The sequence below is a fragment of the Homo sapiens genome, chromosome 16, assembly GCF_000001405.40.
Source record: "Homo sapiens chromosome 16, GRCh38.p14 Primary Assembly".
Classification (NCBI taxonomy): domain Eukaryota; kingdom Metazoa; phylum Chordata; class Mammalia; order Primates; family Hominidae; genus Homo; species Homo sapiens.
Genome location: NC_000016.10, coordinates 31,152,019 through 31,165,246, shown reverse-complemented (window position 1 = coordinate 31,165,246; position 13,228 = coordinate 31,152,019).

Sequence of the window (13,228 nt, the reverse complement as noted above, 5' to 3'; positions counted from 1 at the left end):
CACACACACACCCGTGGAAGGACATCTCTTGGAATTTCCAAGATTGATTTTTGTTTCCAACTAAGCAGTTTTCTTGTTGTGTTTATTGGTGTGTGTGTGTGTGTGCGCGTGTGTACATGCGTGCGTGCATGTGTGTGTGAAAGAATATTGTGGCCAGGTGAGGTGGCTCACACCTGTAATCTCAGCACTTGAGGCCAGGAGTTTGAGACCAGCATGGGCAACATCGTGAGATGCTGTCTCTACAAAAAATACAAAAATTTGCCGGGTGCAGTGGTGTGCACCTTTAGTCCCAGCTACTCGAGAAGCTGAGGTGAGAGGATTATCTGAGCCCAGGAGGTCAAGGCTGCAGTGGGCCATGATCGCGCCACTGCACTCCAGCCTGGGCAACACAGAGAGACCTTGTCTCAAAGAAAAAAAAAAAGCATTTTGGGGAGGGATGGCATTAGGAGAAATAACTAATGTAGATGACGGGTTGATGCGTGCAGCAAACCACCAGGGCACATGTATACCTATGTGACAAACCTGCACGTTCTGCACATGTACCCCAGAACTTAAAGTATAAATAAATAAGAATTTTGCCCTCAGCACCAGCTTGCATGGTGAAAAAAGAAAGAAGGAAAGTAAGAATTTTGCCCTAAGGCGCCTGTCTATTAGCTGTTTAGAAACCATAGAATTTAGCAACTGTTTTCTTTCTTTAGTGGAAACTTCATAAGAAATTATTTTGGAAAGTTTTGCCTACAAAATTAAAAAGGAGGCCGGGCGCGGTGGCTCACACCTGTAATCCCAATACTTTGGCAGGCCGAGGTAGGCAGATCACCTGAGGTCAGAAGTTCGAGACCAGCCTGGCCAACATGGTGAAACCCCGTCTCCATTAAAAATACAAAAATTAGGCCAGGCTCTTTGGCTAACGCCTGTAATCTCAGTACTTTGGGAGGCCGAGGCAGGCGGATCACCTGAGGTCGGGAGTTCGAGACCAACCTGGCCAACATGGTGAAGCCCCGTCTCTACTAAAAATACAAAAAAATTAGCCATGTGTGGTGGCAGGTGCTTGTAATCCCAGCTCCTCAGGAGGCTGAGGCAGGAGAATCGCTTGAACCCTGGAGGCAGAGGTTTCAGTGAGCTGAGAATGCTCCATTGCACGCCAGCCTGGGCAATGAGTGAAACTCCATCTCAAAAAAAAAAAAAAATTAACAAGATGCTGAGCATGGTGGTGCATGCCTGTAATCCCAGCAAATTAGAAAGCTGAGGTGGGAGGATGGCTTGAGCCCAGGACTTGGAGATGAGCCTGGGCAACATAGTGAGACCATCTTGCCCCCGATTTTAAAAATAATAATTAAAATAAAAAGGCTGTGGGAAAACATTATGTAATAAAGCTGGAAGATTTCCTTCTCATTTGAGAAGGGGTCTGTTTGTTTGTTTTATAGAGACGGTCTTGCTGTGTTGCCCAGGCTGGTCTGGAACTCCCAGACTCAAGCAATCCTCATGCATCAGCCTCCTGAAGTGCTGGGATTACAGGCATGAGACACCACGCCCAGCCTCAGAGGGTTTTTTAGGTTGTTTTGTTGTTTTTTTTTGTTTGTTTTGTTTTTTGACACGGAGTCTCCCTCTGTTGCCCAGGCTGGAGTGCAGTGGGGTGATCTCAGCTCACAGCAACCTCCACCTCCCAGGTTCAAGCCTCAATTCTCCTGCCTCAGCCTCCTGAGTAGCTGGGATTACAGGCATGCGCCACCACGCTTGGCTAATTTTTGTATTTTTAGTAGAGACGGGTTTTCACCATGTTGGCCAGGCTGGTCTCAAACTCCTGACCTCGTGATCCACCCACCTCGGCCTTCCAAAGTGCTGGGATTACAGGTGTGAGCCACCGCGCCCAGCTGTTTTTCTTTTTTTTTAAGACAGAGTTTTCGTTCTTGTTGCTCAGGCTGGAGTGCAATGGCACGATCTCGGCTCACTGCAAACTCTGCCTCCTGGGTTCAAGCGATTCTCCTGCCTCAGCCTCCCAAGTAGCTGGGATTACAGGCATGCACCGCCACACGCAGCTACTTTTGTATTTTTAGTAGAGATAGGGTTTCTCCATGTTGGTCAGGCTGGTCTCAAACTCTTGACCTCAGGTGATCCGCCCCCCTCAGCCTCCCAAAGTGCTGCGATTACAGGCGTGAGCCACTGCGCCCAGCCTCAGAGGGTTTTTTAACCTGATGATGCGTATCGAAATAGGAAGACATTTTTATTAGTAAATTTGACTTTAGTATTTTTAGGTGAATATGTGTTTTTTCTCCGTGGTGGCAGAAGAAGAAACACATTATCGGATCGCCAAAAAACCTAACCATGAAAGAGTGTAAAATTGGAGAAACAGATATGGTTTACTTTAGTCTACCAGGGACAATTATGTGGCTGTTTGTGTAACATAATTGTTACTTGCTACTTTTTCTGTGGCTGACGATATGCAAAACTCTCTGGGCCAGTACAAAAATTGTGCGAAATTTACCAATGGCTGGAAGCAGTGGCTCACGCCTGTAATCCCAACACTTCAGGAGGCAAAGGTGGGAGGATTCCTTGAGGCCAGGAGTTCAAGACCAGCCTCAGCAACATAGCAAGACCCCCATCTCTACAAAAAATGTAAAAACCTAGCTGGGCGTGGTGGCATCCAAGTAGTCCCAGCTACTCTGGAGGCTAAAATACAAAATTACTAAAATACGAAATACTACATTACTAAAATACAGAATTACTGAAAATACAAAATTAGCCAGGCATGGTGGCCAGGGACTGCTTCAATTTCTCTGCCTTCTCTTTGTCAATGATGACCAGGGTATAAAGGTATCTGCTGCATCGAACTTTAAACTTCACATTGTCCTTATTTTTCTTTTTTTTTCTTTTTTTTCTTTTTTTTATTTTGAGACAGAGTTTTGCTCTTATTGCCCAGGCTAGAGTGCAGTGGTGCAATCTCGGCTCACTGCAACCTCCGCCTTCCAGTTTCAAGCGATTCTTCTACCTCAGCCTCCCAAGTCGCTGGGATTACAGGTGCCCGCCACCATGTCCAGCTAATTTTTTGTATTTTTAGTAGAGACGGGGTTTCACCATGTTGGTCAGGCTGGTCTTGAACTGCTGACCTCGTGATCCACCCGCCTAGACCTCCCAAAGTGCTGGGATTACAGGCATGATCCACCGTGCCCGGCGCATTGTCCTTATTTTTCTTGATCTTGACAGATTTGGCATCCTTTTGTCGGGCTGTGAGCAGAAAGACCTTGATTTCCTCAATTTTCTGAGGCATGGCAACAAGGAACACAGGGAGCAGGCGGGGACCGGGACAGTGAGCAGCGACCAAGGAGAGCTTGAGTTTATTATAAGAGCCTAGAGCCGCCACAGAGACTTTTAAGCAGGGACAAACACTTTTTTTTCTTTTTTTGAGATTGAGTTTCACTCTTGTTGCTCAGGCTGGAGTGCAGTGGCGCGATCTCGGCTCCCTGCAACCTCCGCCTCCCAGGTTCAAGCGATTATCCTGCCTAGCCTCCCGAGTAGCTGGGATTACAGGTGCCTGCAACCACACCTGGCTAATTTTTTTTTCTTTTTCTTTTCTTTTTTTTTTTTTTCTGAGACAGAGTCTTACTCTGTTACCAGGGCTGGAGTGCAGTGGCACAATCTCAGCTCACTGCAACCTCCACCTCCCAGGTTCAAGCAGTTCTCCTGCCTCAGCCTGGGATTACAGGCGCCTGCCACTACCAAACACCCAGCTAATTTTTTGTATTTTTAGTAGAAAGGGGGTTTCACCATGTTGGCCAGGCTGGTCTCGACCTCCTGACCTCATGATTTGCCCACCTTGGCCTCCCAAAGTGCTGGGATTACAGGCGTGAGCCACCTCATCTAGCCCGGAGTTTCACTCTTGTTGCCCAGGCTGGAGTGCAATGGCGCGATCTTGGCTCACTGCAACTTCTGCCTCCTGGGTTCAAGCGATTCTCCTGTCTCAGCCTCCTTAGTAGCTGGGATCACAGGTGCCCGCCACCACTCCCAGCTAATTTTTTGTATTTTTAGAAGAGATGGTGTTTCACTATGTTGGCCAGGCTGCTCTTGAACTCCAGACCTCAGGCAATCCACCCGCCTCGGCCTCCCAAAGTGCTGGGATTACAGGCGTGAGCCACCACTCCCTGCTAATTTTTTGTACTTTTTTTTAAGTAGAGACAGGGTTTCACCATATTGGCCAGTCTGGTTTCAAACTCCTGACCTCAGATGATCACCCACCTCAGCCTCCCAAACTGTTGGGATTACAGGCGTGAGCCACCACGCCTGTCCGTGTCCCTGTGTGTTTGATTAAACTAATCTCAATGGGTTTTCATTATCTAAACAGCTTCCCCTCTCATACGCATTCTCGTTTCAGATGTTCAGAATTCAGAAAATACAAACAACCTGCAGGAGAAATGGCTGCTCAGCTTGAGTACCTGAGGTCCTGCAACACCCCACCTCCTTTGTTTTCCAGAGGGGTTCAGAAAGCTCGCTGTGCTCAGGCCTCCAAGTCAGGGCCATAAGCCTTGTTGCCTCCAGCCATGACTCAAAAACCTCGCCCTCACCCCCATCCCATCCTGACCTCCTCTCTTGCCCCCAAGAGCTCTCCCGGACCCCATACAGTTTATGCAGGAGCACCCCAAAACTGCTCCCCTCAGAAGCAGGAGGACGTCTCTCTCCCAGCAATGAGCTGCCACCTCCTCAGACTCCAACTCGGATTGTTCTCTCTGTGTCTCAGGAACCACCCTCCAAATTGCATACAATGGCCAGGCACGGTGGCTCATGCCTGTCATCCCAGCACTTTGGGAGGCTGAGGCAGGTGGATAACCTGAGCTCAATAGTTCAAGACCAGCCTGGCCAACATAGTGAAACCCCGTCTCTACTAAAAATACAAAAATTAGGGCCAGGCACGGTGGCTCACACCTGTAATCCCAGCGCTTTGGGAGGCCAAGGTGGGCGGATCACCTGAGGTTGGGAGTTCGAGACCAACCTGGCCAACATGGAGAACCCCTGTCTCTGCTAAAAAATACAAAATTAGCTGGGCGTGGTGGCACATGCCTGTAATCCCAGCTACTCGGGAGGCTGGGGCAAGAATCACTTGAACCCGGGAGGCAGAGGTTGCGGTGAGCTGAGATCATGCCATTGCACTCCAGCCTGGGCGACACAGCGAGACTCCATCTCAAAAAAAAAAAAAAATTCTATACAGTGCATCTCACAAAGTGAGGTCCCTTTGAAGTAGGGCAACTCATTTGAGGCTAAAGCGCTGAGTCCTGGGGCAATCTCTGGCTCCGACAGGCTCAGGGTACCAGCATGGTCCCTGGAGACCAAGAGGTGGGTGGGGAGGTGGGGGCAGAGTCTGGGAGTGAAATTGAAGGAGCAGTTACTCTTCTTGCCACGAGAGGGAGCACCAAGGGGATGTCTTGATCATATCAGTCAAGCGTGGAGTCAACACACAACATGTTCCCAATTTTATCAAGTCTCTCAAATATTCCCACTCAGAGGGTCCCTCATAGAATAACATTCTAACTCCAAGTTTTTTCTGAGAACAAGTTATTTCTGGCCAGGCGAAGTGGCTCATGTTTGTAATCCCAACACTTTGGGAGGCCAAGGCGGGCAGATCTCCTGAGGTCAGGAGTTCAAGACCAGCCTGGCCAACAGGGTGAAACCCCGTCTCTAAAATACAAAATTGTAAAATACAATTTTGTATTTAAAATACAATACTCTATCGTATTTAAAATACTCCAGAATACAAAATTGTAAAAATACAAAATTAGCTGGGAGTGGTGGTATACACCTGTAATCCCAGCTACTGGGGAGGCTGAGGCAGGAAAATCACTTGAACCCAGGAGGTGGAGGTTGCAGTGAGCCAAGATCGTGCCATTGCACTCTAGCCTGGGCAACAAGAGCAAAACTCCGTCTCAAAAAAAAAAAAAGTTATTTCTTCCAAGCAGATATGCAACAATATAGTGACTTAGCAAGATAATATTATGGAATAGGGAACAGGGTTGCCAGGTTTAGCAAAAAATTTTATTTTACTCCTTTTTTATTTTACAAAAAAATTTTGTACAAACGGGGTCTATGTTACGTTGCCCAGGCTGGTCTCGAACTCCTAGACTCAAGTAATCCTCACACCTCAGCCTCCTGAAGTGCTGGGATTATAGGCATGAGCCACCACTCCCAACCAGATTTAGCAAATAAAATAAGTGCCCGATTAAATCTGAATTTCAGGTAAACACAAATAATTTTTTTTTAAGACAGGGTCTTGCTCTGTCACCCAGGCTGGAATGCAATGGTGCAATCATAGCTCACTGCAGTTTCGAACTCCTGGTCTCAAGTGATCCTCCTGCCTCAGCCTCCCAGACCACTGGGATTACAGACGTGAGCCCTGTGCCTATTGGAAACACAAATAATTTTTTTTTGAGATAGGGTCTGGTTCTGTTGCCCAGGCAGGAGTGCAGTGGCATGGCTCACTGCAACCTCTGCCTCCTGGGCTCAAGCCATCCTCCCACCTCAGCCTCCCAAGTAGCTCCCAAGTGCACACCACCACATCCAGCTATTTTTTTTTTTTTTTGAGACGGAGTCTCGCTCTGTCACCCAGGCTGGAATGCAGGGGCGCTATCTCAGCTCACTGCAAGCTCTGCCTCCTGGGTTCGCGACATTCTCCTGCCTCAGCCTCCCGAGTAACTGGGACTACAGGTGCCCGCCACCATGCCCGGCTAATTTTTTTGTATTTTCTTTTTAGCAGAGACGGGGTTTCACTGTGTTAGCCAGGATGGTCTCAATCTCCTGACCTCGTGATCCGCCCGCCTCAGCCTCCCAAAGTGCTGGGACCACAGGCTTGAGCCACCACGCCTGGCCCACATCCAGCTAATTTTTTAAAAAACTCTTTGTAGAGATGGGGTCTCACTATATTGCCCAGGCTGATCTTAAACTCCTGAGCTCAAGCAGTCCACCTGCCTCAGCCTCCCAAAGTGCTGGGATTACAGGTGTGAGCCACTTCACTTGGCCCGACAAATAATTTTCAATATAACTCAAGTATTTCCTGAGACCTAGTTATAGTAAAAAAAAAAAAAATCGTTTATCTCAAATTCAGACTGAGCTAAGTATTCTGTATTTTAGCAGGCACTCCAAAAGGAGTGACACGTGCTTTAAGAGTTTTATACACCAGCTGGGTGTGGTGGCTCACGCCTATAATCCCAGCACTTTGGGAGGCTGAGGCGGACAGATCACCTGAGGTCAGGAGTTGGAGACCAGCCTGCCCAACATGGCGAAACCCCATCGCTATTAAAAATACAAAAAAATTAGCCGGGCATGGTGGTGGACACCTGTAATCCTAGCTACTCAGGAGGCTGAGGCAGGAGAATCACTTGAACCCGGGAGGCAGAGGTTGCAGTAAGCTGAGATCGCAACACTGCACTCCAGCCTGGGGGACAAAAGCAAAACTCCGTCTCAAAAAAAAAAAGAGTTTTACAAACCAAATGTTTGCAGTGGCTGCGCTCACGCCTGTAATCCCAACACTTTAAGAGACTGAGACGGGTGGATCACTTGAGGTCAGGAGTTCAAGATTAGCCTGGCCAACATGATGAAACCCTGTCTCTACTAAAAATACAAAAATTCGCTGGGCATGATGGTGGGCACTTGTAATTCGAGCTACTTGGGAGGCTGAGGCAGGAGAATCACTTGAACCCAGGAGGCAAAGGCTGCAGTGAGTGGAGATTGCACCACTGCACCCCAGCCTGAGCAACAGAGTGAGACTCCGTCTCAAATAAAAAATGAAAATAAAATGCAGCTTTCTCTGTCATGGCACCCATTCTGGTGTGCATGAGGACAGACAGCCCAGATTATTTTTCGAGGAGACATGTGGCCCTGCCCACAGTATATTCCACAGAACAGCCCTGACCAGAAGTGGAGTGACTCCCAGCTTCTGGCTTCCTCTTTTCACGATGAGATGCGGCACTGCTGGGCTTCGCTGGTGTGGAGCGCGTGCGGCTGTGTGCTTGAGCTGTGAAACAGTCTTCTGCTCCCTCTGGTCAGCACCTTTGGAAAGTGTGGTGAGAGCAACAATACTATCAAGGATTATCTGAAGAATGCCTTTTTTTGTAGGTCAGTGATAACCAGACATTTTAGTGACAAAGCCAATTCAGAAAAAAAGTAACCTGTTACCAAAATCCTTTAAAAAACATGATCTCTTTTATCAGGAAACATAATATCAACATCTTTGGTTAAGCATGCTTTTCTTGTTTTTCCAAATGCTGAAGGGTTTCATTATTTTAGCTAAGCTTTCAGAAACAACATTACACACATGCCCTGGTGTTATCGGATGTAAAGCTGCACATTTTCCCAACGTTTTTGGTCCAGGAAAGCATTTCTGGAGCTAGTTCGTTTGGCTTTTTCTTAATTGACTCTGGAATCCATTTATTTGCAAAGTGTGTTTTGCCTCTTTTAATTTCTTTTTACTCATGTGGAATAACCATATAGTTTTTTTTTTCTTTCCTTCTTTCTTTCTTTTCTTTTCTTTTTTTTTTTTTTTTCTTTTTTGAGACAGAGTCTCGCTCTGTCACCCAGGCTGGAGTGTAGTGGTGCAATCATAGCTCGTTGCAGCCTCGACCTCCTGGGCTTAAGTGAACCTTCTACCTCAGCCCGAGTAGCTGGGACTACAGGTGCATGCCACCATGCCTGGCTAATTTTTATTTTATTTTATTTATTTTGGGGACGGAGTTTTGCTCTTGTTGTCCAGGCCGGAGTGTAATGGCACGATCTCAGCTCACTGCAACCTCTGCCTCCTGGATTCAAGTGATTCTCCTGTTTCAGCCTCCCAGGTAGCTGGGATTATAGTCATGCACCACCATGCCCAGCTAATTTTGTATTTTTTTTTTTTTTTTAGTAGAGACAGGGTTTCACTGTGTTGGTCAGGTTGGTCTTGAACTCCCAACCTCAGGGGATATACCCGCCTTGGCCCCACAAAGTGCTGGGATACAGGTGTAAACTTTTTTTTTTTTTTTTTTTTTTAGAGATGGGGTCTCATTATGCTGCCCAAGCTAGTCTCAAAACTCCTGGGCTCAAGAGATCCTCCCACCTCAGCATCTCTAGCTAAGTTCATAGAGAGTCCTGATCTTAAGGGTACGGCTCAGTGAAACTCTGCATGTGTATATTCCTGTGTATATACACACCTACATCAAGATCTAGAACTTTCTTGCACTCTAGCAAGTTTCTCTGTGCTCCTTCCCACATAATATAATACTTCCACCAGAAGCAACCACTATTCTGATTCCTTTTTTTTTTTTTTTTTTTTTTTGAGATGGAATCTTGCTCTGTCACCCAGGCTGGAGTGCAGTGGTGCTATCTCGGCTCACTGCAACCTCCGCTTCCCAGGTTCAAGCGATTCTTCTGCTTCAGCTTCCTGAGTAGCTGGGATTACAGGCATGTGCCACCACACCCGGCTAATTTTTGTGTTTTAGTAGAGACAGGGTTTCACTGTGTTGGCTAGGCTGGTCTTGAACTCCTGACCTCAAGTGATCCGCCTGCCTCAGCCTCCCAAAGTGCTGGGATTACAGGTGTGAGCCACCGTGTCCGGCCACTATTCTGACTTCTACCACTGGGGATTAGTTATGCTTGTTCCTAAATTGCATATAATTGGAATCATGCAATATGACACATATTTGTTGAAAAAAAAATCTGTAAGATTCATCCATGTTGTTGCAGATATCAGTAATTCATTCTTTTTTATTGCTGCATAGTATTTCAGTGTATGACTATGCCACAATTTATCAATTTTCCTGGGGCCGGACATTTATGTTCTGGATCTTGGCTCTTGTATCTAGACCTTCTATGAGTGCCATGCTCTGCATATGCCTTATGGCACCCTCATTTCTCTTAGGTCTATACCTAGGATCTTGATTGTTGGGTCAAAATACAGGCATATGTTTAGCTTTCGTCTATTCTGCCAGTTATCTTTTCTTAATTTTTATTTTTAGGAATAGAGATGAAGTTTTCACTATGTTTTCCAGGCTGGTCTCAAGCTCCTGAGCTCAAGTGATGCTCTCGCCTCAGCCTCCCAAAGTGCTGGGATTACAAGGCATGAGCCACTGCGCCTGGTCTTTTTTTTTTTTTTTTTTTTTGAGACGGAGTCTCACTCTGTCGCCCAAGCTGCAGTGCAGTGGTGTGATCTCAGCTCATTGCAACCTCCGCCTCCCAGGTTCAAGCGATTCTCCTGCCTCAGCCTCCCGAGTAGCTGAGATTACAGGCGCCTGCCACCATGCCCGGCTAATTTTTTGTATTTTTAGTAGAGACGTGCCTAAGTTTTGTAATTTTAGTAGAGACGGGGTTTCACTGTGTTGGCGAGGCTGGTCTCGAACTCCTGACCTCAAGTGATCTGCCCACCTCAGCCTCCCAAAGTGCTGGGATGGATTACAGACGTGAGCCACCACACCCGGCCCCGTGCCAGACTTCTAATCTTTGAAATTGTAACATAATAAGTTGGTATTGTTTTAATCCACTGAGTATATGGGAATTTGTTACATCAGCAATGGAAAACTAATATACTAGTTCACCTATCATTTCCCCCTCCACTAGTCAGACCAGTAGAGAACTGCGTATGTATCACCTTTCTTACCCAGAGGCACCACCCACATATCCTTATTTTATTGACTGTGGTTTGTTTATGGTGTCATAGGCTGAAATTAAGCAGCACTATAAAAATCAACCTTAGGCATGGTGACACATGCCTGGAGTCCCAGCTACTCAGGAGACTGACATGGGAGAATCGATTGAGCCCAGGAGCTCGAGGCTGCAGTGAGCTATGACCATGCCACTGCACTCCAGCCTGGGTGACAGAGTGAGTCTCCATCTCTAAAAAAAAAAAAAGGCTGGGCATGGTGGTTCATGCTTGTAATCCCAGCACTTTGTGAGGCCAAGGCACGCAGATCACCTTAGGTCAGGAATTTGAGACCAGCCTGGCCAACATGGTGGAAACCCGTCTCCACTAAAAATACAAAATTAGCAGGGCATGGTGGTGGGCTCCTGTAATCCCAGCTACCCGGGAGGCTGAGGCAGGAGAATCACTTAAACCTGGGAGGTGGAGGTTGCAGTGAGCCGTGATCATGCCATTGCACTCCAACCTGGGCAAAAAGAGCGAAACATCATCTCAAAAAAAAAAAAAAAAAAAAAAAAAAAACCTCATGAAACTATTTGCTGTTTTTCACATGATGTTGTTAAGAAAGATTTTATTATACCCAAGTAAAGAGACATGATCTCCCAACCAGAATGGACTCGAACTCCTGGGCCCAAGGGATCCCCCCACCTCAGCCTCCAGAGTAGCAGGGACTACAGGCATGCACCGGCACACCTGGCTCCTCCAAGGAGAAATTTATTTTCTGTCCTTGAACCTGGAAGAGAGAGACTCCTGCTTGAGCTTCCCTCCTTACCTTGGCTGCTAGTTGCAATCAAGGGCATCTTAGAGTGGTGAAACCATAAGAATCACCTGGGCAGCTTTTGCAAACTGCACTTGCTCCTCCAGAAATTCCAATCTGTCTCCCTACAAGAAAATGTTCTCCTTCCTCCCATAAGATCCATTGCTTTGGCGAGCCTCTGTGCTATTTATTTTTTTATACTTATTTATTTATTTATCTATTTATTTTTGAGATGGAGTTTTGCTCTTGTTGCCCAGGCTGGAGTGTAATGGTGCAATCTCAGCTCACTGCAACCTCTGCCTCCCGGGTTCAAGCGATTCTCCTGCCTCAGCCTCCCAAGTGGCTGGGATTACAGGCATCCACCACCACACCCGGCTAATTTTTTGTATTTTTAGTAGAGACGGGATTTCACCATGTTGGCCAGGCTGGTCTCGAACTCCTCACCTGAGGTGATACACCTGCCTCGGCCTCCCAAACTGCTAGGATTACAGGCGTGAGCCACCGCGCCTGGCCAACGTCTGTGCTATTTAGCAGAGCAAGTCCTACTCCTCATGTCTGCTGGGTTGGGGAAAGGGTTAAGAATCATTGTCTTGGCTGGGCACGGTGGCTCATGCCTGTAATCCCAGCACTTTGGGAGGCCGAGGCAGGTGGATCACCTGAGGTCAGGAGTTTGAGACCAGCCTGACCAACATGGAGAAACCCCTGGGCAGCTGGGACTACAGGTGCACACCACCACACACAGGATCGCGTTATGCTGCCCAGGTTGGTCTAGAACTCCTGGCCTCCAGCAATCCTCCCATCTTGGCCTCCCAAAGCACTAGTACAGGCTTGAGCCACTGCACCTGGCCCCAAAATTTTATTTATTTATTTATTTATTTCGAGACAGAGTCTCACTCTATCACCCAGCCTGGAGTGCAGTGGTGCGATTTCAGCTGAGCACAACCTCCGCCTCCTGGGTTCAAGCCATTCTCCTGTCTCAGCCTCCTGAGTAGCTGGGATTACAGGCACATGCCACCATGCCCAGCTAATTTTTTAATTTTGAGTAGAGATAGGGTTTTACCATGTTGGCCAGGCTGCTGGTCTTGAACTCCTGACCTCATGATCCACCTGCCTCGGCCTCCCAAAGTGCTGGGATTACCAGCATGAGCCACCGCGCCCAGCTCCAAAATGTTTATTAACCACTAAATTGGAGCAAGCAATGTATCGGTGAGGGTCTCCAGGGCGTGCATGTTTTGCGTCAATGACACTTGCACTCTCTTCTTTCCTACCTTTGCCCATTACCTCATTTTTCTGAGTTTTGGTTAAATGATTGGTTATTTATCCTTTGAAGGGCAAATAGCTACCCAAGCAGCAAGTTAAACAAATGCCTGAGGAGGCTCTCATTGTTAAGAAATCTGAAGTTAAGACTCAATTTACCTCCATCGTTTCCTGTGGACAGGCTAAGGCTAGCAGGTTTATCAATTGAGCCCAGTCCGTTGCTGGGTGGCTGAATTTGCATTTTCCCTCTTCCTGCTCACTTCTCATTTTCCCTCAATCTTGCCACCCTGGGATTGCACCTCCCAATTAAGCACAAGCATGCAGGCTTTGCCTAGGCCTGTTTTCTAGGGCAACTAGACTCATAGACCAATATTATTATTAATTGATATTATCAGTAAGAAGATAGATACACATGTGTAAATATTCCTGGGTTGACCCTGCATTTCTGCTGTCCACCCTGATTTGTTCCCTAAGAGTGACCTTTATGGACCATATAATGGTCTCCCTTGAACTCTGGCCTCTGGGAGGTTTCAATGAAAAGAGCCAGGGGGTGATCAGAGGATGGGAGGATC